The 22,262-nt window shown below is 39.5% G+C and overlaps 3 annotated features.

The window, feature by feature from the left end:
- Positions 3,374-3,423: an enhancer, noted in NCBI's record as "active region_5965". NCBI's record gives its function as "activates an Ori minimal core promoter by ATAC-STARR-seq in GM12878 lymphoblastoid cells {active_cell/tissue: GM12878}" and the evidence as "EXISTENCE:reporter gene assay evidence [ECO:0000049][PMID:35858748]".
- Positions 3,444-3,543: an enhancer, noted in NCBI's record as "active region_5966". NCBI's record gives its function as "activates an Ori minimal core promoter by ATAC-STARR-seq in GM12878 lymphoblastoid cells {active_cell/tissue: GM12878}" and the evidence as "EXISTENCE:reporter gene assay evidence [ECO:0000049][PMID:35858748]".
- Positions 13,473-13,672: an enhancer, noted in NCBI's record as "active region_5967". NCBI's record gives its function as "activates an Ori minimal core promoter by ATAC-STARR-seq in GM12878 lymphoblastoid cells {active_cell/tissue: GM12878}" and the evidence as "EXISTENCE:reporter gene assay evidence [ECO:0000049][PMID:35858748]".

The raw sequence follows: 22,262 nt of genomic DNA on the forward strand, positions 1-22,262 counted from the left end.
GCAGCATTCGATTCTCATAGGAGCAAACCATGTGAACTGTGCATGCAAGGGATCTAGGCTGTGAGCTCCTTATGAGAATCTAGTGCCTGATGATCTGAGGTGGAACAGTTTCATCCTGAAACCCTCCACCCAACCCCCATCCGTGGGAAAATTGTCTTTTACGAAACCTGTCCCTGGTGCCGAAAAGGTTGGGGATGGTTGATGTAAGTAACATATTTTATTTAATAAATACTTATAAAATTATGTATGCGTCAAAACCACATGCCATCTTTTATAATGTGCCTGAAATATTTACTATAATTTAATGGTTTGTCTAAAAGTAAGTTTAAGAAATCACAAATTCCACAGGACTTATTATTCTCTTAGCATAAAGCAAAGGAAACTAATTTTAAAATTTAAGTTTAATAATATCTTGAAATATCTTTTGAGTGAAAGGGGAAATCCACTGTATGCTTATACCACATTTTGTTTATTCATTCACTAGTGGATGGAAATTTAGGTTGTTTCCACCTTGGGGCTATTATGAATAATGCTGCAATGAACATTCGTGTACAAGTTTTTGTGTGAACACGTGTTTTCAGTTCAGTTGGATATACATCCAACATTGAAATTGCTAGGTCCTATGTAACTCTATTTGTAATATTTTGAGAAATAGTCAAAGAGTTTTCCAAAGTTGCTGCATTTTCCATTTCAACCAGCAATGTATAAGGGTTCCAATTTCTCTGCATTCTCCCCCACAATTTTTATTGGCCATCTTTTTTATTATATAGCCATCATAGTGGGTGTGAAGCAGTATCACATGTTTTTTATTTTTTATTTTAATTTCCTTAATGACTAATGATGTTGAGCTTTTTTATGTACTTATTGATCATTTAGTTATCTTCTCTGAAGAAATGTCTATTCAAATAGTTGGCCCATTTTTACTTGGGTGGTCTTATACTGTTAAGTTTTGAGGTTATTTTATATCCTGGATAAAAGTCCCTTATTGGTTATATGATTTGCAAATACTTTCTCTCTTACTGTAGGTTGTCTTTTCACTTTCTTGATAGTGTCTTCTGAAGCAGAAAAAGTTTTCTTTTTAAGGAAGTCTAATTTATTATTATTACTTTTGGGGGCCACTTTTTTCTATGGTGTTATAGCTTGGAAGGCTTTGTCTAACCGCTGTTCATGCATATTTACTACAGCACTTTCTCCTAAGAGGTTTATAGTTTTGATTTTTTTTTTTTTTTGACGGAGTCTTGCTCTGTCATCCAGGCTGCTGGAGTGCAGTGGCGCAATCTCAGCTCACTGCAACCTCCACCTCCCGGGTTCAAGCGATTTTTCTGCTCAGCCTCCCGAGTAGCTGGGACTACAGGCACGTGCCACCATGCCCAGCTAATTTTTGTATTTTTACTAGAGACGGAGTTTCACGATATTGGCCAGGCTGGTCTCGAACTCCTGACCTCGTGATCCGCCCACCTTGGCCTCCCAAAGTGCTGGGATTACAGGTGTGAGCCACCACACCTGGCCTAGTTTTGATTTTTATATTTATGTTTACATTCCATTGTGAGTTGACTTTTAAAATCTAAACCTAGGAGGTACAAGTGCAGTTGTGTTATATGGACATACTGCATGGTGGCGAAGTCTGGGCTTTTACTGTAACCATTGCCCAAATGATGTACATTATATCCATGAAGTCATTTCTCATCTTTTTTTTTTTTTTTTTTTTTGAGACAGAGTCTCTTTCTGTCACCCAGGCTGGAGTGAAGTGGCTCGATCTCTGCTCACTGCAAGCTCCGCCTCCCGGGTTCACGCCATTCTCCTGCCTCAGCCTCCCCAGCAGCTGGGACTACAGGTGCCCGCCACCACGCCTGGCTAATTTTTTGTATTTTTAGTAGAGACGAGGTTTCACCATGTTAGCCAGGATGGTCTCGATCTCCTGACCTCGTGATCCACCCGCCTCGGCCTCCCAAAGTGCTGGGGTTACAGGCATAAGCCACCATGCCCAGCCCATTTCTTATCTCTTAACCTCCCTTCCTCCTCACCCTTCTGAGTCTCCAATATCTATTATTCCACACTCTATGTCCATATATACACATTTTTTAGCTCCTACTTATAAGTGAAAACATGCAGTACTTGACTTTCTGTTTCTGAGTTACTTCACCTAAGATAGACCTCCTGTTCCATCCATGTTGCTGCAAAAGACATGAGTTCTTTTTATTTTTTTTATTTTATTTTTTTTTTGAGACGGTGTCTCACTCTGTTGCCCAGGCTAGAGTGCAGTGGCGCAATTTCGGCTCACTGCAAGCTCCACCTTCCGGGTTCACGCCATTCTCCTGCCTCAGCCTCCCAAGTAGCTGGGACTACAGGCTACCGCCACCACACCTGGCTAATTTTTTTGTATTTTTTTTTAGTAGAGACGGGGTTTCCCCGTGTTAGCCAGGATGGTCTCGATTTCCTGACCTTGTGATCCGCTCGCCTCAGCCTCCCAAAATCCTGGGATTACAGGTGTGAACCACCGTGCCTGGCCGAGTTCATTGTTTTTTAAGGCTGAATAGTATTCTACTATTTAGTATACCACTGAATAGTATACCACATTTAGTATACTACGGGGTAGCATTTCTTCATCCAACCATCCATTGATGGACACTTAGGTGGGTTCTATGTCTGCTGTTGTGAATAGTGCTGTGATAAACATACAAATGAAAGGTGTCTTTTTGATAAAATGATTTCTTTTCCTTTGGATAGATACCCAGTAGTGTGATTGCCGGAACAAATGGTAGTTCTAATTTTAATTCTTTGAGAAATATCCATACTATTTTCCATAGAGGTTGAACTAATTTACATTCCCACCAACAGTGCATAAGGGTTCCCTTTATAAACTCTGCATCCTTGCCAACATCTGTTATTTTTTTACTTTTTAATCATAGCCATTCTGACTGGTGTAAGATATCTCATTGTGGTTTCAATTTGCATTTCTCTGATGATTAGTGATGAGCATTTTCTTTTCATATGCTTGTTGGCTATTTGTATGTCTTCTTTTGAAAAATGTCTGTTCATGCCCTTTGCCCACTTTTTTTAAAATTTCACATTCTGTTTTCATAACATTGGGCTTGGAGAAGGAAAGGAATCATGAGTATATGCAACTGTGATATTTCCCTGTCTCTCAAATGTAATACGAATCCAAGTTCAAATTGTCTTTTAAATTCAGGACCTGGTTCAGAGTCAGCAGAGGTGGCGTTCTGCTGCTGGGAAGTGGGGTCTGAGGAGACATATTCCTCCCAGTGCTGGCCCAGGGTCCGCTGCAGGACCTCTCCCTCAGGACAGGGATAGGGTTTGCTGTTGGGCCTCTGGGTGGCCTGGTGAACAGTCCTGTTAAGTGCTACAAGCTCAGCAGCATCTGGAGACATTGTTGCCAGCTTTTTTCCTTCTGTAATTGTGGTATTATATCTCAGTCAGATCCTGGATTTGTGACTTGTTGTGCTTGAAATTTGATATTTCACACACCAGCAAGGGGCCTGGAGCTTCTCACAACTGGGTCAGGGTTGCCATGGTTATGCTTGCCCCCTTGGTCCACTTTGTAATGAGGTTATTTGTGGGAGGTTTCGTTGTTGTTGTTATTGAGTTGTTTCAGTTCCTAGTAGATTCTGGATATTAGTCCCTTGTCACATATGTGGTTTGCAAATATTTTTTCACATTCTGCAGATTGTCTGTTCATTCTGTTGGTTTTTTTTTTTTTTTTTTTTTTTCCCTGAGACAGAGTCTCTCTGTCACCCAGGGCGGAGTGCAGTGGCACGATCTCGGCTCACTGCAACCTCCACCTCCCAGGCTCAAGTGATTCTCATGCCTCAGCCTCCGAAGTAGCTGGAATTACAGGCTCCCACCACCAAGCCGAGCTAATTGTTGCATTTTTAGTAGAGATGGGGTTCTGCCATGTTGTCCAGGCTGGTCTTGAACTCCTGACCTCAAGTGATCTGCCTGCCTCGGCCTCCCAAAGTGCTGGGATTATAGGCGTGAGCCACTGCCCCTGGTTGATTATTTCTTTTGCTATGCAGAAGCTTTTTAGTTCAATTAAGTCCCATTTGTCTATTTTTGGTTTTGTTGCCTGCACTTTTGATGTACTAGTCATGAATTCTTTGCATAAGCCAATGTGTTTTTTGAGTTAATTTTTGTATACATTGTGAAGAGTCCAACTTTGCACTTTTGCAGGTGAATATCCAGTTGTCCCAGCACCATTTATTGAAAATGCTATTCTTTCCCTATTGAATTATTTGGACACTCTTGTGAAAAGTCAATTGATCAAATATGTGAGAGTCTATTTCTAGATTCTCACTTCTGGTCTATATGCCTATCCTTATACTAGTAACATACTATCTTGATTACTGTTGCCCTGTAGTAAGTTTTGAAATTAGTGTGTATGAGTCCTCCAAATTTATTCCCCCTCTTTAAGATTGTTTTAGCTATTCTGGGTCTCTTGAATTTCCATATGAATTTTAAGATCAGCTTGCCAATTTCTGCAAAAAAGGCTGCTGGAATTTTTATAGAGACTATTTTGAAACTGTGTATCTGTGGAATGTTGCCATCTTAACAATACTAAGCCTTCCAGTCCATGAGCACAAGATGTCTTCATTTATTTGGATCTTTAATTTCTTTCAATAATGTTTTTTAGTTTTTCAATGTACAAAATGTATACTACCTTTGTTAAATTTCTTCCTAAATAGGTTTTCTACTTGGTGTTATTACCAGTGAAATTATTTTCTTATTTTTATTTTTAGATATTGGTAGGGTATAGAATAAACTTTTTTATATATTGATCTTATATCTACATCCTTGCTGAATTCATTTACTAGTTTAATAGTTTGCGTATGTGGCAGGGGGAGAGGATACCTTAGGATTTTCTATATATAAGATGATGTCACTGTGAATAGAGATATTTTCACTTCTTTCTTTCCAATCTGGTTGCCTTTTTTCCTTTTTCTTGCTTAATTTCCCTAACTAGAACCTCCAGTACAATATAGAATAAAAGTGGCAAGAGCAGACATCCTTGCCTTTTTCCTGATCCTAAGGAGAACTATTTCAATGTTTCACCATTACATATGTTGCTAGCTGTGAGTTTTTTGTAGATGCCCTTTACTAAATTATAGATGTCACCATCTTTTCTTAGTCTATGGAGTATTTTTAATCATGAGAGGGTGCTGAATTTGGTCAAATGCTTTTTTGACATCTGTTAAGAGGATCATATGTTTTTTGGTCCTTATTGTATCAGTGTGGTATATTGTATCTATTGATGTTCATATGTTGAACCAACCTTGCATAGCTCAGACAAATATCACTTGGTCATAAAGTATAATCCTTTTTATATGTTGCTAGATTCAGTTTGTTGTCATTTTGTTGAAAATATTTACATCTGTATACATAAGGAATATTGGTCTGTAGTGTTTTTTTCTTAAGTTTTTGTCTGGTTTTGATATGAAGGTAATGCTGGCTTCACAGAATAATTAAGAAGCACTTCTTTCTCTTCTACTTTTTGGAAGAGTTTGTAAATAAATTTTGTCATTCTTTTAACATTTGGTAGGTTTCTCCAGTAAAGCCATCTAGGCCTGGGCCTTTCTTTGTGGAATATTTTTTATTATTATTAATTCAATCTCTTTACTTATCTTAGGTCCATTTAGATAATCTATGTTTTCTCAAGTGACTTTTGGGAGATTGTGTTTTTCTAGGAATGCGTCTATTTTATCTAGGTTATCTAATGTGTTGGCATAAAATTATTCATGGTATTCCCTTATAATTCGTTTTATTTCTACAGGTCAGTAGCAATGTCTCCTCTTTCATTCCTGGTGTTAATAATTTGAGGATTTTTTTCTTTTTTTCTTGATCAGTCTAGCTAAAGTTTGTCAATTTTGCTCATTTTATTCAAATAACCAATTTTTAGCCTTGCGATTTGCTGTTTTTCTATTTTCTATTTCATTTATTTATCCTGTAACATTTATTGTCTCTTTCTTGCTGCTGGATTTGAGTTTAGTTTTCTCTTCTCTTTGTAGTATCTTAAAGTAGGAGGTTATGTTATTCTTTTGAGATTCTTCTTTTTTAATATAGGTACTTTACAGCTATAAATTTCCCTCTAAGCATTGCTTTGCTAAATTCCATAAATTTTAATATGTTGCATTTTTGTGTTCATTCATATCAAATTATTTGCTAGTTTTCCTTGAGATTTATTTGACTCACTCATGATTTAGGAGTATGTTGTTTAATTTCCACATATCTGTGAATTTTCCAAATTTCCTTCTGTTACTGATTTCTAATTTTTTAATTGTGGCCAGAGACTATACTTCAAAGGATGTTAAGCCTTTTAAATGTATTTTGGCTTGTTTTATGGCCTCGTACATGTTTTGTGCTAGAGAATGATACAGATGTGCTTGAGAAGGATGGGTATTGTGTTGTTGAGTAAGGTGTTCTACAGCTGTCTGTTAGGTCCAGTTTTCACAAACTATACAACACTACACAAATAGTATTATTCAATTCTTCTATTCCCTTGTTAATCTTCTGTCTGGTCGTGCTACCCATTGTTGAAATTGGCACATTAAAGTCTCTGACTATCATTATTGAATTTTCTGTATCTTTTCTCAATTTGTCTGTTTTTGCTTCATATACTTTGGATATCTGCTGTGAGTTGGATATCTGCATTTTCTGTTTGCTGAATCATTTGGAATTAAGTTTCAAACATAGTGACATTTTACCTCCAAGTACTTTAGCATGCTAAGTACATGCTAAGAACAAGGACTTCTCCATCAAAACCACAGTACTATTACCACACCTAAGAAACATTGACAATAATCCCACAAAAGTGGGATAACTACTTCATATTCAAATTTCCCCAAAGTTGCTTTTATAGGTGTAATTACTTTTTTATTTACCCAACTAAGGGTTCAGTGAAGGTTTGAGTTTTATAATGGGTTTTTTTGTTTTGTTTTGTTTTTAGTGTTTCCTGATAAGCACTTTCAACAAAAAATAACGGCTTATTTTCTTCATCTGATTCAGCAAATGCTGTCTCAAACCAATAAACCAACATTATAGAGATGGGTTAAGGATTAAATAATAAATAACACATTTATAAATAAATACTGGAAGAACTATAGATGAATATGTATATAAAACCATATATCCTTTCTGGAGAAGGGTTTTCTAATATGGCAACTAAGAAAAATATGGAAATATTTGTCTATTATACAATTGTATACTATTAAAGTAAAAATATATGTGTGGCTAAAAAGGCCATGAATAATGATAAGAGACAAATGGTCACCCTGGATCAATATAAATCATGGCCAGGGAAACAGAGTCACATAATATAATATCGTACTATGGCGACCAGATTGCCTGTATGAAAGGGGTAAGGGCCCAGAAAAGAAAGAATCTGAAGACCAGCACCTGTCCCAAGAATAATCTACTGCAAACTCCACAGTAATTGTAAAGAGTGAACATTTATTTCAGATTCTGGCAATATCTTGAGTATCATTCTTAATTTTAATATTGATGCAAGTTTTTATGTTTCCTCTTTATTAGGGTATATATTTCAAGAAATTGAAAAAAGACACTTTTGGCATCTGGCTATAACTCATTTTTTAAAAAACAGAAAGGCATCCTTTTTTTTTATTTATTTAATTGAGATAGGGTCCCATTCTGTCACCCAGGCTGGAGTGCAATCACAGCTTACTGCAGCCTTGATCTCCTGAGCTCAAGCTATTCTCCTGCCTCAGCCTCCAGAGTAGCTGGGACTACAGGGACACACAGCCATGCCAGGCTAATTTTTTTTTTTTTTTTTTTTTTTTTTTTAGAGATGAGGTTTTGCTGTGTTTCGCAAGCTGGTCTCAAACTCCTGGGCTCAGGTGACCCTCCTGCTTTGGCTTCCCAAAGTGCTGGGATTACAGGCATGAGCCACTGTGCCTGGCCTATTATTTGTTTTTACCAAAGTTATATACATAAGCACATATAATCAAAAACATCATTACTACTATTATTTTGAACAAATGATTATCTGCTAGATCAAGTAAGGCTAAGAAAAATCAAAGATTTTATTTTGCTTTAATTTACTCATTCTCTGGTACATTTCCTTTCTTTGTGTAGATCCAGGTTTCTGACCTTGATTATTCTCCTTGTCACTAAAGAACTTCTTTTAATTTTTCTGGCTGGGCACGGTGGCTCACGCCTGTAATCCCAGCACTTTGGGAGGCCAAGGTGGGAGGATCACCTGAGGTCAGGAGTTCAAGACCAACCTGACCAACATGGAGAAACCTCATCTCTACTAAAAATACAAAATTAGCCGGGCGTGGTGGCGCATGCCTGTAATCCCAGCTACTCGGGAGGCTGAGGCAGGAGATTGCTTGAACCTGGAGGCGGAGTTTGCAGTGAGCCGAGATCACGCCACTGCACTCCAGCCTGGGCAATAAGAGTGAAACTCTGTCTCAAAAAAAAAAAAAAAACAACAACTTTCTTTGAAGGCAGGCCTACCAGCAACAGTTTCCCTCATTTTTTTGTTTGTATGAGAAAGCCTTTATTTCTCCCTCATTTTTGAAGGATAATTTTACAGGGCATAGAATTTTAAGTCGGTAGGATTTTTTCCTCTCACCGTGTTTAGTATTTGATTCCACTCTCTTCTTATTTACATGGTTTCCATGGAGAAGTCAGCTGTAATTCTAAACTTTGCTCCTCTATAGGTAAGGTGTTTCTTTCCTCTGTTTTCTTTCAGGATTTTTTCTTTATCTTTCTGAAGCTTGAAAATGATATGCCTAGGTGTCTTTTTTTTTTTTCTTTTGGCATTTTTCCAGCTTTATGTTCTCTGAGCTTCCTGGGTCTGCAGTTTGGTGTCTGACAAGTGTTTGGGAAAATTCTCAGTCATTATTGCTTCAAATATTTCTTCTGTTATTTTCTCTCTTATCCTGATATGTTACACATTTTGTAGTTATCCCACAGTTCTTAGATATTCTATTCTGGGTTTTTTTGAAGCTTTTTTCTTTTTGCTTTTCAGTCTTGGAAGTTTCTGTTGACATATCTTCAAGTTCCAAGATTCTTTCTTCAGCCATGTCCAGTCTCCTGATGAGCCCACTGAAGGCATTTTTCATTTCAGTTACAGTGTTTTTGAGCTCTGGCATTTTTTAAATTCTTTCTTAGAATTTCCATCTCTGTGCCTATATGATCCATCTGTTATTTTAATCAAAATTATACATGCACAGAGGTACCTGGTGACACCAATTCTTTTGCCATAATCTCTTTTTCACATTGTGTAACTTGGTCCTGAATTAGAGATTTCTCTCTCTTTCACAAGCATAATGTCAGATTCTATAGTTTTCAAGAAACTTCAGAATGTCTTTGTGAGAACAGTGAGAGAGTTTGTTCTCATTCTAGCCAAGAAAAAAAAAGATACTAAATATCAACACTAAAACTGAAAACACAGCACCAAGCAATTTAGAGAATTTGATTAATTTTGTACATTAAACTATGCTGCTCTATTAGTTCTTCCTTACCACTCTTTTCATGAATTATATTGCAATCCTATATTCTATTATTGGCCATCTGGATGAAATTATAAATTATAATAAAAAGAATCCTTGATGAAGGGTCATGCACATTTTTATTTCTGTATCTACTTTAAATGTGTTAATACTATAGAGTTGCAGAAATTTGAAGTAATTTTAAATTGCTCTTATGGACAAAACCCTAAGCCTCCACTACTTTGCAATGATGGAAAAGGCCACAGAGCACTTTGAAAAATCATACTTTTATCCCCATTATCTCAGCCAAATGTGAACTGTGGCAAACATCATGTACCTGCAAGCTTCTCTCCACCTATAAGGCCCCTGTCTTCTTCACATGCTACCCTTTCTACCTGGGTGTGAGCATCAATGGTCTGGAGTCATAACTTCTGGGAGCAGGTCTGCTTTTGATCAACTATACCACTCACAAGATTTTATGTGCTTGGTTCTCTTCAACTATGCAAATAGTAGATCAACTAACAACTGTTCCAGCCATAAAGATGAAATCCTCTTCATTCTTACATTCTCTTATAATTGACAAAGTATTGAAATACTTAGTGATGCTCTACTGCTACTACAATAGCTAGATAGACCTTTTGTTCCATCATTAGTTGATTCCCCTCCATTCTGGGCCTGTTTTCATTAAGTTTTCCTTATATAATATGAGGAAACTGTGAAGCATGATTTCTCAATCTCATTATCAGCACTCTTGACATCTGGGGCTGTAAAATTCTTTGTTATGTAGGGCTGCCCTGTGCATCATAGCATCTCTGATCTCTGCCCACTAGATGCCAGTACCACTCCCCCAACTTCTAGTGTGACAACCAAAAATGTCTCCAGACATTGCCAAATGTCCCCAGGGAGTGAGGGGTAAAATTACCCTCAAACCCCAAATAAAAACCACTGTTGTAAAGAAAACTTAAATGTTATAATGTATATAAAGGGGACTCACAAACTATGCAGTTTAGGAATTATTATATTTTTAATGTTTTTTGTCAATGTGTTGTAGAAGAATATGAGATGAAATATAGGCAAAGAGTGAAAGGTGGTCCTTAGAGTGTATTCCAGTTTACTGTCTGTATGGAAGTTGCCTTATGAGAAAAGGCAGACAATCTCTAAGGATGCCTTAAAAGAGGTTTCTGTAGCTAGTCATGTAACAGTTAAGTTGGCCATGGTACCCACATCATGATTACCTTACAGCTTATTCCTTGGGCAGGGGACTAGCCCCTTTGCTGCTTGCTATAAGAGGTGCTGAGCCTTTAACCCTAGGTTCCCCGCATGTGGCACAACCCACTGTGTGAGTAGCTGCCCATTACCACCCCATGGGACTTTGGGACAGGAGAACCAGAATTACCATGCTGATGTTCCCACTGTGTGCTGTGCTGTCTTGCTTGAGTCTCTTTGTCTATTTTCACACCTCCAAAGTGGCAGCAAGCCAACCTGGTTACTGGCTTAGTCATCTCCTTGGCCTTCTTGTTACTCTTCACCATTCTCTATGAGGGAGGAGTTTCCCCTGATACTGGGTTAAGTTACTTCACTTCCCTTTGTCTTTGTTTCCACATTTTAAAATGGGGATAATAATGATAGTACTTAAATCTTAGTGTTGTTGTGAGGATCATTCAAGCTAATGTAATAGCCTGATAGGTAATTATGTCCAAACTAATGCCATGTTGCTTAGTTCTATTTTCTCCTATATGTCCCTGTGTTAGTCTGTTCCCACATTACTGTAAAGAAATACCTGAGACAGGGCAACTTATAAAGAAAAGAGGTTTAATTGGCTCATGGGTTTGCAGACTGTACAGGAAGCATAGCAGCTTCTGGTTCTGGGGAGGCCTCAGGAAGCTTCCAATCATAGTGGAAGGCAAAAGGGAGTAGGAGTCTCACATGGCAGGAGCAGGAGCAAGAGAGAGTAAGATGGGAGGTTTTACACTTAAATGATCTGATCTCATGAGAACTCACTCACTCACTATTGTGAGGACAGTACTAAGAGGGATGGTGCTACACCATTCGTGAGAAATCCACCTCCACAATCCTATCACTTCCCACCAGTCCCACCTCCAACATTGGGGATTACAATTTGATATGAGATTTGGGTGGGGACAAATATCCAAACTATATCAGTTCCTACCTTCTTAGATTGCCTACTAAACTCCAAATCCTACCTTTCTTTCACAGTGAAATTTACTTTTCTTTGTCATAGACTACATTTCCATTTCACAGTGCACATCATCTCACCATCTTTCTTGCTTTCTCTCTCCCTCAGTCTCCTCTACTCATTAACCTCCATCCTCCTTTGCCGGACAGATTCCTCCCTTTGTCTTTGGTGCAGTTGTTTGCAGACCAAATTTGTTGTAACACGCCCCTAGTATTTCAGTTTTTACTTCAAGGTGATTAAAAGATTTTCATCTAGTCAAGTCCCTCCTACCAATGAAATTCTTGTTAATAAAAGTTTCTTTATCACCTCACATAATTCATTGTTCAATGAATATTTTTGTTCCTATAGTGGGTTAATATTTTGATATTCAACTATGTGATTTTTCTTAATTCCTCTTACTTATCTTTTCTTTCCCCACCATTCAAGGAGTGTTAGGGTTTTAGAAATACAGATACAAAGATGATACAGAGAGAACAATTAAATCTTTAACCTGAAGCTCTTGAGAATAATTCTGTAAAGTCCATAGCAGAGAAAAAGGTCTTAAAAGTCATTGCTTTCCATTATTAGAGCCAGAGACTTAGAGAAACATGTTATTTAAATCCCCAAAGTCAGACTTTAAATATCCAAAGCCAGTCCCCCAGAGGGCCAAGTACATAATATTTATACTAAAACCACGGAAAGAAATATGTGATGTCCTAAGAACCATGTCCTGCTCAGAAGAAGATCAAAGCTTGACCAGCAGGCAGGAAGGTGGGGATTAATGAAGGATGTGCTAAGGGTTCCACCGCTAGTGGGACCCAGTGTTATCACTTCCTCCCCCAAGGGCAACCCTTTGCAGAGAGGCATAATAAGCTCAGATGCATGCATGTGTGGCATTCCGTAGCAAAAAGAACTATTACCTGCCTTTCCAGACAACCCAAGCAACTGTAACCCTCACAGAGGACCCCTGAATCCACCTGGGCAGTAGAACAGTGATGATGAGGGCTGGGACTGTTAACATCAGTTCTTTGGTATGTGGTATTGGAAGGAGGTGGAGCAATGAGTAATTTTTTGTTTGTATGCTCCAAGACTGTTTGGCTTGAAAAAAAGGGTATGATCTAGTCATGCAATATTTTTTAAACAATAAAATAAAAATGTGAAAAGAAAAAAAAAGTGGATGTGAGAAGGGAAAAAAAATCTCGTAAGCTTAGCAGTAAGTTTCAAAAGAAACTCTCTAAAATTTTTATTTAAAAATTAATATTGGTTAGATGCAGTGGCTCACACCTGTAATTCCAACACTTTGGGAGGCTGAGGTAAGAGGATTGCTTGAGACCAGGAGTTTGGGACCAGCCTGGGCAACATAGCAAGACCCTTGTCACTACAAAAAATTAAAAATTAGATAAGCATGGGAGTGCACATCTGTAGTCCCAGCTACTCAGGAGGCTGACTAGGATGACTTGAGCCCAGGAGGTTGAGGTTGCAGTGAGCCATGATTGAACCACTGCACTCCAGACTGGGTGACAGAGCGAGAACCTGTCTCTAAAAAATAAATAAAAATGAATCTCATTTTGAATAATCAGACTTTCACTTCTCTCTTTTCATCTCTTAACTCTGCACCTCTGATTAAAGTGATGAAATTGAGTAAAATGAGAAGAAAAAGGGAGCTTCTTAAAATAAGCCACATTGTGGAATAAACTCAAGAATTAAGATCTGATCTTGCTAGGTTTTGAGTCTTAATTTTCAAGGACCACTTTCAGTTGTGGTTGTGGGAGTTGATCCCCTTTTCTCAACTAATGCCCGTTAACCTGGAAATTTCTCTATTCCTTCATTCTCTTCTGTCCCCACCCCGAAACCACACCCCACATCTCTTTCTATTCCCCATACCATGCACATTCACATGCCCAGAACTTCTTATCTTCTTGTCTTTACCCTAATTTCTTTTTCTTTCTTTCTTTTTTTTTCGAGAAAGAGTCTCACTCTGTAGCCCAGGCTGGAGTATGCAGTGGCTGATCTCAGCTCACTGCAACCTCCACCTCCTAGGTTCAAGCGATTCTCCCACCTCAGCCTCCAGAGTAGCTGGGACTACAGGCGTGTGCTACCACGCCCGGCTACTTTTTGTATTTTTAGTAGAAACTGAGTTTCACCATGTTGGCCAAGCTGGTCTCAAACTCCTGACCTCAAGTGATCTGCTCACCTCGGGCTCCAAAAGTGCTGGCATTACAGGTATGAGCCACCGCGCCCAGCCTTTCCCCTAATTTCTTATTATCCCCTACCTCTAGGCTTCCCCATTCCCCTTTCTCAAGATCTTCTTTTATCCTCAAGACCACATGAGACATCATAACTTCATTGTGAGAGGCATTAATCTACTGGATGGAGCACATGTGGGGAGTATCTGGGGTCTATACCAATTTCCATAGTAACCTTTTTCAGGGAAATCACTTCATCCTTAAAAAATGGGATAAAGGAAAGAAATAAGGCTAACCACCCTGGGCTACATCCAAGAACAGTGCAGAGATATGGAGGGTTCCAGGCTGTGTGAAAGACGGTTCATAACTGCTACTAATTGTAGCTAGGAAAGAGAGGAAAGGAGAACACGAATTAGAGCCTGAGAATGGAGAGAGAGCTGAAGGAGTTGATGGCATGATTTGTCAAGCTAAAGGAAGAAAGAAAATGAGTCAAGAAACAGAAGGTCACAGAAGAAATTCAGCAATTAATTTGTTTAATACTGTGCCATTCCACCCTTCTTCTCCCAGTTCAGTGCACAATCCCTGAGCTCAGGATATGCCCTTGAAGTTTCAAAGTCAGGAAGGATAAGCTGGGGTTTCTGAAGAGGAGAGTTTTGGGGGCGGGGGCCTACTAGATATAAAGAAATATGTGTGCCTACTTTAGTACATTTTCCATTACATGATTTGAGTGAGGGTAAAAAGCATAAAATTAAGCATTTCATTTTTAAAATGTGTATTCAATATTCCAAGAGTTATTCTTATCAACTTAAATCCAGAATAATTTTTCATGTGATGACAAGCAATGGGACATGGTGATGTCTATGATTTTGTGTCCGAGCAAGTATTGTACACTTGATTAATCTTTTCTGGATAAAACATTAGCAATTCTTGGGAAACCAAAGCTTGAAGCAGAGCAGAATGAGGCGTGACACTGAGTAAGTGGTGAACTTGGTGTCATTGAGCTCCTTTTTAGGGATTAAACCATCTCAGAATGCATTTGACTCACTTCAGGAAGTAATGCTGCAAAGCAAATGACCTACTTCATACTTAATCCCCAATGCTGCAACTTTGTGCAGCATTTTGAAGAAGCCCAGAGGACCTGATCCTAGACCACCCATGAGGAAGTAGTAAACCCCCAACACCCACAACACTGCCCCCACATGCAGAAGTGAGAACAGATTCAAAATTGTGTGGAAGTGCTTGCTGCGAGGGCTTTTGGCCTCTGCCTGCCCATGTTAAGCAACTTGGGCACACACCTCCAGTGTCTTGGCAAGAATCTCCAACTCCCACAAGAATGGGAAGAAAGCCAAAGAAGGCCAAAGAAGGCCAAAACTTTCTCCAAACAAGCTCAGTAGCAAAACTCTGTGGGAGAGAGAGAAGTAAGGCAATTGCCCTAGGCATATTGGGCAGATGAGTCAGCACCCAGCAAGAGAGGAGCCTGTAATTCTGGAGAAGTTAGGGCTGGTACCACCATGGAATTAGGTGGAGAGGAAGAGAGAATGTGTACTCATCAAGAAAAATGGATAGTCCAGCATGCAGACATGGAAATGCCCTCTTCACCGTCCTTCCTTTCCTAAGAAATTCTGGGTTCTAGGCCAGGTGCAGTGGCTCACACCTGCAATCTCAGCACTCTGAGGCCAAGGCATGTGGGACACTTGAGGTCAGGAGTTCAAGACCAGGCTGGGCAACATGGCAAGACCCCATCTCTACAAAAAAATTAAAAAATTAGCCAGGCGAGGTAGTGCACACCTGTAGTCCCAGCTGCTAGGAAGACTGAGGTGGGAAGATGACTTGAGCCCAGGAGTTTGAGGCTGCAGTGAGCTATGATCGTGCTATTGCACTCCAGCCTGGGCAGCAGAGTGATACCGTCTCTAAAATAAAATAAAATAAAATAAAATAAAATAAAATAAAATAAATTCTGGGTTCTCTGTCCACACCTGTAGTTAAACTCACTGAGAAGGAAAATACCAAGCATTGCACCAAAGTCTAAGAAATCACCACTAAAGAACTTACCCCTGTAATCAAAAACCATATAGACCCCTAAAAACTATGGATATAAAATTTTATAAAAGAAAAGAAAAAGAAAATGCCCAGCAGGTGGCAGCACTAGACAACTGAAGTAAAACAAGGCTGCAAGGCAACACGAAAGTTCATCTTGGAGACTTTGCGCTGTAACTTTCCTTGGTGGGATTTTATTTAGCTATCAGTGAATATCTCATAAGAAGGAATTTGTATCCCAGCACCTACCACAGTGCCTGACACATGCTGGGTATATGTGTTGACTGAATGCAGGCAGGCTGGCAGGCAGGAAGGAAGGAAGGAAGGAATTTTGACAACTCACCTAAACTAGAAAAATGTCATCATTTGAAATGGCCATATTCTCTTCTTATCCCATCATTACTATTGTCATTTTAATTAGTTTTAGTAATATTAATAAAGCATCCTACTAGATTAATTTTCTCTACTCACCCTTTTGACAACCTACATCCTTATTCTCTACTGAATTAAATTTTTCTCATCGCTTTTGGAGACTTTTATTAAATCTCAGGGTTAAAAAAAAAAAACTCAAGATTAGAAACACCACAGCTAGAATTCCAGTTTTAAAAGAAATTATTTGTCTTTGAATGTTGGTGTTTATAAGGAAGGCATTTATGAGTAGACTATCGTTCTTTGATTAGTTGTATTTTTTTTAACCAATGACTTGTTTGCAGACTGTGCTTAAGTTTTATTATTATTTAAAAAAAATTTGTTTTCTTTTATTGACCATCTCTGAAATATGCTATTGTGCAGTGGCTTGCGCTTTTTTAGAATCCTACTTAATAATAATTTAAGGTAATAAAAGTTAGAAGAAAGACTAAATAAACTAATAGATGATAAGAAATCACTCTGCCCATGCACTGTGCTATATTGGGTCAGAGTGATGACTTTCTATCACTTTCGAGATAGAGGAAGAAAATCCTCACCCTTTGCTTCACCAGATACAGAAAATGGCTACATTGGACACCCGAATAAGAGCTTCCAAATCTACCTATTAGAACGAAGGGTAGCCAAACTTTCCCTGAAAGCTAATGTTAGCTGAGCACGATGGCTCATGCCTGCAATCCCAGCACTTTGGGAGGTCGAGGCAGGAGAATAGCTGGAGGCCAGGATTCATGACCAGCCTGGGCAACACAGCAAAACCCCCTCTCTAAAAGAAAATGTTTAAAATTAGCCAGGCATGGTGATGAGCGCCTGTAGTCTTAGCTAGCTACTCGGGAGGCTGCAGTGAGAGGCTCACGTGAGCATAGGAGTTCAAGGTTGTGGTGAGCTATGATTCCATCACTGCACTCCAGCCTGGGCAGCAGCCAGATCCTGTCTCAAAAAAAAAAAAAATGCTAATGGTAAAATTTTTGCTAGTAAGAATAATGGCAGTTGATGACACTCAGTTGGAGCATGTAGTTGAGTTTTTTGAGGGCGGGTATGTTGTTTTATGTACTTTCATATATCCCTAGCATCTCACCTTGTGTCTGGTATATTTTAAAACCTCAATCAATATTTACTGAATGTGTGGAGACTATCAAGACATATGTCACTGAACAGTGGTACTTGAATCAGAGCCACGTTCTCAGCAGAAGAAAAGAATAGAATGGCAGATCATGGGAGTCACAATTCAGCAGACTTATAAGAATGGGCCCAGAGCCAAAATAATTAGCATCATCTGGAATTGGTGACACCCTAGATTATCTCTTTCATCTTAGGAACTCCTATCCTCACCCTGTTCAGCTTTGTTACACATAGCCATCTTGCTGCTGCTTTTACACCTTTATTGTGTATTAAATGCAACTTTCCTGAACTTGAAGAGCCTCTGAGTTCTTCTTATCAATAAGGGGAATGTTCTGAGTTATCATGTGTCTCCCTAATTCTGGAGGAATAGTGTATCTAAAAACAAGCATCTTACATGTTGATGTTCCCTGCATCAAGCTTAATTCCTATTCTATTTTCATTCTGCATGCTCTCCCCAGGCAAGTGCATCCCCACCCATAATTTCTAAACCAGGAACTGCAGATCTTTACTTGTGATTGCCATTGTTTCTTGAATTTCAAATCCATACATATAGCTAATTTCCCATAAGAAAACTCTACCTGGGCATACCATATATTAATAGCTACCTTAAATATATCATATCAAAGATCAAATCCACAGGCTCTGATTTAAGATGGCAGATTAAGCACATTTGTTTATCTTTTTCCCAAAAACCATATTGAAATCATAGTAAAAGAATAAAAAGCATGTCAGGCACAGTGGCGTGCACCTGTAGTCCTAGCTACTCAGAAGGCCAAGGCAGGAGGATTGCCTGAGCCCAGGAGTTCAAGTTCAGCCTGAGCAACATAGACCTCACAAAAAAAAAAAAAAAAAAAAGGAAAGGTAAAGAAAGGAAAAGGTATGAACACTCCCCCCACCCAACCCAACCAAACAAAGAGAATGGAAGGGAAGCTAATGGAGGAATAGAGGTTACAGCAAAGTTCTAGAAGTCAGGAGATGGATGAAGAGGGATGACTGATGATGATCAGAGCTGATGAGGAAGCTGCAGCCTAGTACCCCTGAGGGATGAGACTACAGCCAAAAAGGGAGCCGATCTGTCTAGAATTAACTCAGAAATTTGTCTCAACTTGGAGACTACAGTTCTACAGAAGGCAAGAGTAAGAAACAGACAACCAGCAAAAGCACATTAGCATCTTCAGAGAAATTAAGAATGACATTGCATCCATAAAACAAGAGCAAGATAAAAGACATGAATGCCAAACGTCATGCTTCTCCACAACCTGTGTCTGTTCCTGCGCCTCCTGTCTCAGTGAATGAATGCTTCCATCATGCACCCAGTTTCCCAAGCCAGAGAGTTGAAAGTGATCCCTTTATTCTTCCCTTCTCTTTATGCCTCATTCAATAAACTAAGGGTTGATTCTACCTCCTAAATATCCTTTGTATTTTCCCCTCACCTCTCTTCCCCACAGCCACTGCGTTTAATAGACCTTTCTTACGTCTTTCCTAAATTCTAGCAATAACATTTATCCCTGCTCTATCTCTAGTTTGAAGCCTTCCCAAACCTTTCTCCAGGATCATAATCCCCAGTTTCAGTCAACCCAGCATCTGGCATACTGCCCTTCAACCAGTGAGTGTCTAATTGTCATTTGGATTGAGTAATACCTGACCATCTGTCCAGCCTGCAATTTTTACTGCTCCATACTTTCTTCTTTAAATCCCAGAAATATGGACTTACTTTTAGTTCTTTCTCAAAACATGTCTCCTTTTTAAAACATGTGCTGTTCTCCCAGCCCGAAACCCGCATTCTCGTTGTTGGCATAGAAACTCCTTCAAGGCTCAGCTGAAATGTTACTTCCCCTGAGGAAGTTCCCTAATTTCCCCTGGACTGACATGGGTATTCATACTTTATATGCCCTGGGAATATCTCATGTGCCTTCTCTACAGCACTTTTGTGTTGAATTGTAAGTTCCTGTTTCCCCAGACCCGACTGTAGCCTCTTTGAGGGCAGGAACCAATCCTCTGAGCTTGGTATCCCTTGCACATATGCGGCATAAAGGAGTGGTTATAATCACAGAATTCTATTTTTTAAGATAGAAGGAAGCTCAAGAAATTATCTGTATAGTTCCTATCCTTGAGCCAATGAAATATTATCATTCTTATTTATTAATTGAGGCAACTGAAACATGCAGATGAAGCAATTTATTTAAGGTTGCAAAGTGAAGTGCACAGGCTTACGTGGGCAATGGGGACAGAGGCAGGGAGGGGAGAGAGGGTGATCAGAACTAACATCCCAATTTCCTTCTTACACAGTGCTCCTTCCACCTCGTGAACACACCTCTTACCAATCAATTGCCATTTACTGAAGAAATCCACCTTGAAAAAAGAAAAGGAAAGATAAGCAACAAAAATATATACATTGCCCAAACTGACAAGGAAATTACTTTCTTTAAAATAATGACAGGCCAGATGCCGTGGCTCACGCCTGTAATCCTAGCACTTTGGGAGGCCGAGGTAGGCAGATCAGTTGAGGTCAGTAGTCTGAGACCAGCCTGACCAACATGGTGAAACCTCGTCTCTACCAAAAAATACAAAAATTAGCCAGGCGAGGCCGGGCGCGGTGGCTCACGCCTGTAATCCCAGCACTTTGGGAGGCCGAGGCGGGCGGATCACGAGGTCTGGAGATCGAGACAATCCTGATTAACATGGTGAAACCCCATCTCTACTAAAAATACAAAAAATTAGCTGGGCGTGGTGGCGGGCACCTGTAGTCCCAGCTACTCGGGAGGCTGAGGCAGGAGAATGGCGTGAACCTGGGAGGCGGAGCTTGCAGTGAGCCGAGATTGCGCTGCTGCACTCCAGCCTGGGCGACAGAGCAAGACTCCATCTCAAAAAATAAATTAATTAATTAAATAAAATAAATAAATAAAAAATTAGCCAGGCATGGTGGTGCATACCTATAATCCCAGCCTGAGCTCAGAAGTTGGAGACCACCCTGGGCAACACGGTGAAACCCCGTCTCTGCTAAAATACAAACACTTAGCCAGGTGTGGTGGTGGGTACCTGCAGTCCCAGCTGCGAGGCTGAGGGATGAGAATCACTCCAGCCTGGGTGACGGTGTGAGTCCCTGTCTCCAAAATAATTAATTAAAATAAAATAATGACCATTGTTACCTGATATTTTTAACCTTAGTGTTGTTTCAAGCCAGGAGGGTAATCATCCTCTGAGAGTATAGAACCATTTATTCATTTGGAACTATGTCCCATACATAATTTCCTATTAAAACAAACTAACAAGCAAATGCTCCCATAGGCTGCCACAGTCAGTTCTTCCCTGTATTCATTCTCTTTCTCTCTCTCTCTTTCCTTGTTTTTAGAGGGAGATGGGGTTTCACTATGTTGCCCAGGCTTGTCTCCAGTTCAAAGCTTCTCGAGTAGCTCGGGCTGTAGGTGCATGCCACCACACCTGGCTTCCTTGTATTGGCTTATTGCAATTTCTGGTGCATACACCAATGGTGGCAAGTGAGCCAAATATTATCAGCATTCTGGCCAGCCAAAGCCATTTTCTTCCCTGCCTCAGCACAGTCTCACATAGCCCACCATTGTCTTGCCTATTCTTGACAGTTTGCAAGATCTGTGTCTTCTGTTTCTTTTTTATTTCACTCGGTGCCCTATCTATAATTATAATAGATACTCAAGAGATAACTTGTTGACTTGATAAAGAAAACAAGAACTGCAGAACACTCAGTGACTTTTTACACTTTCTTACCCATTTCTGTCTTAGATATTGTTATTTGATAGCTCCTTCTCAATCTACTTATAGCCTGAATCTATATCAGAATTTATGCAGATGAGTTGCATTGAGAACACCCATTTTTAGACTACCTAATCCTGGTTTTTCAACCAGGTAGAGCCATTCAGCCAGCCCCAGTTTTGCTAGGTTAGCTCAGTTAATAAGAACAGAAGCAAAACTGATTAATTGGATTGTGAATCCTAACCCTGGTTGACCAAAGGCAATAGACAGATGTTACTTTGTCCTTTTTAGAACCACCATGCAAATGATATAAATTTCCTTGATTCTGCCCTCTACTCTTTTCTATTTGAATATTTTCTCTCTGGGCAGTTTTATCCATTTAGCATCATCATAAGTAATATGCTAATGACTCCCAAATCTACAGTTCTAAAACCAACCTCTCCTAAGAGCTGAAGACCCCAATTTCTTAGGGCCTCCTACACAACCCCACATGGATAGTCTGATGCCACCTTAAAAATAAGATGTCTAAAATAAATTTTAGCATTTTACTCGAATCTATTTCTCTCACTGTTAAAGATATCACTATCTTTCCAAACATAATGGCCTAGAACTCCAGTCATAATTTCAACTCCTCTGTACTGTCCTCCCCCCCTACATTGGGATAGCTCAGGTGGCTCCTCAACTCACAAGAAGTTCCCGTGTGGCCGTGAATATAATGCCTTCCTTTACTCATAAATCATGATTTTTATGGGGTCTGCCGAAAACAGTACCTCATTGCCAGGTCCAGTGACTAGTGCAATTGGTGGATATTTGGCCCCAGCCCATCAATTCCTCTCTGGAAACCTTCAGACTGGCCCAGGAGAAGATCCCATTCTTCTTGAGTTCCTCAGCTAGAAGAACACACCTCCTGAACCAACTATGGCCATGACCCTCAAGCTTGGAGAGAGTCTCTACCGCAGAGAAGAAAAAAGCCACATTCAGAAAGGGGATATGGAGGAAGAATGACACCTGAGGCCCTGATTCGTTGTCCCTACCTGGCTGTATCTCTGTCTTTCCCAAAGTTAGGTTCATCATCTGACTTTGCAAATACATTTTCCTTTTTTTTCTTTATAATGAGCCATG

The sequence above is a fragment of the Homo sapiens genome, chromosome 12, assembly GCF_000001405.40.
Source record: "Homo sapiens chromosome 12, GRCh38.p14 Primary Assembly".
Lineage (NCBI taxonomy): Eukaryota > Metazoa > Chordata > Mammalia > Primates > Hominidae > Homo > Homo sapiens.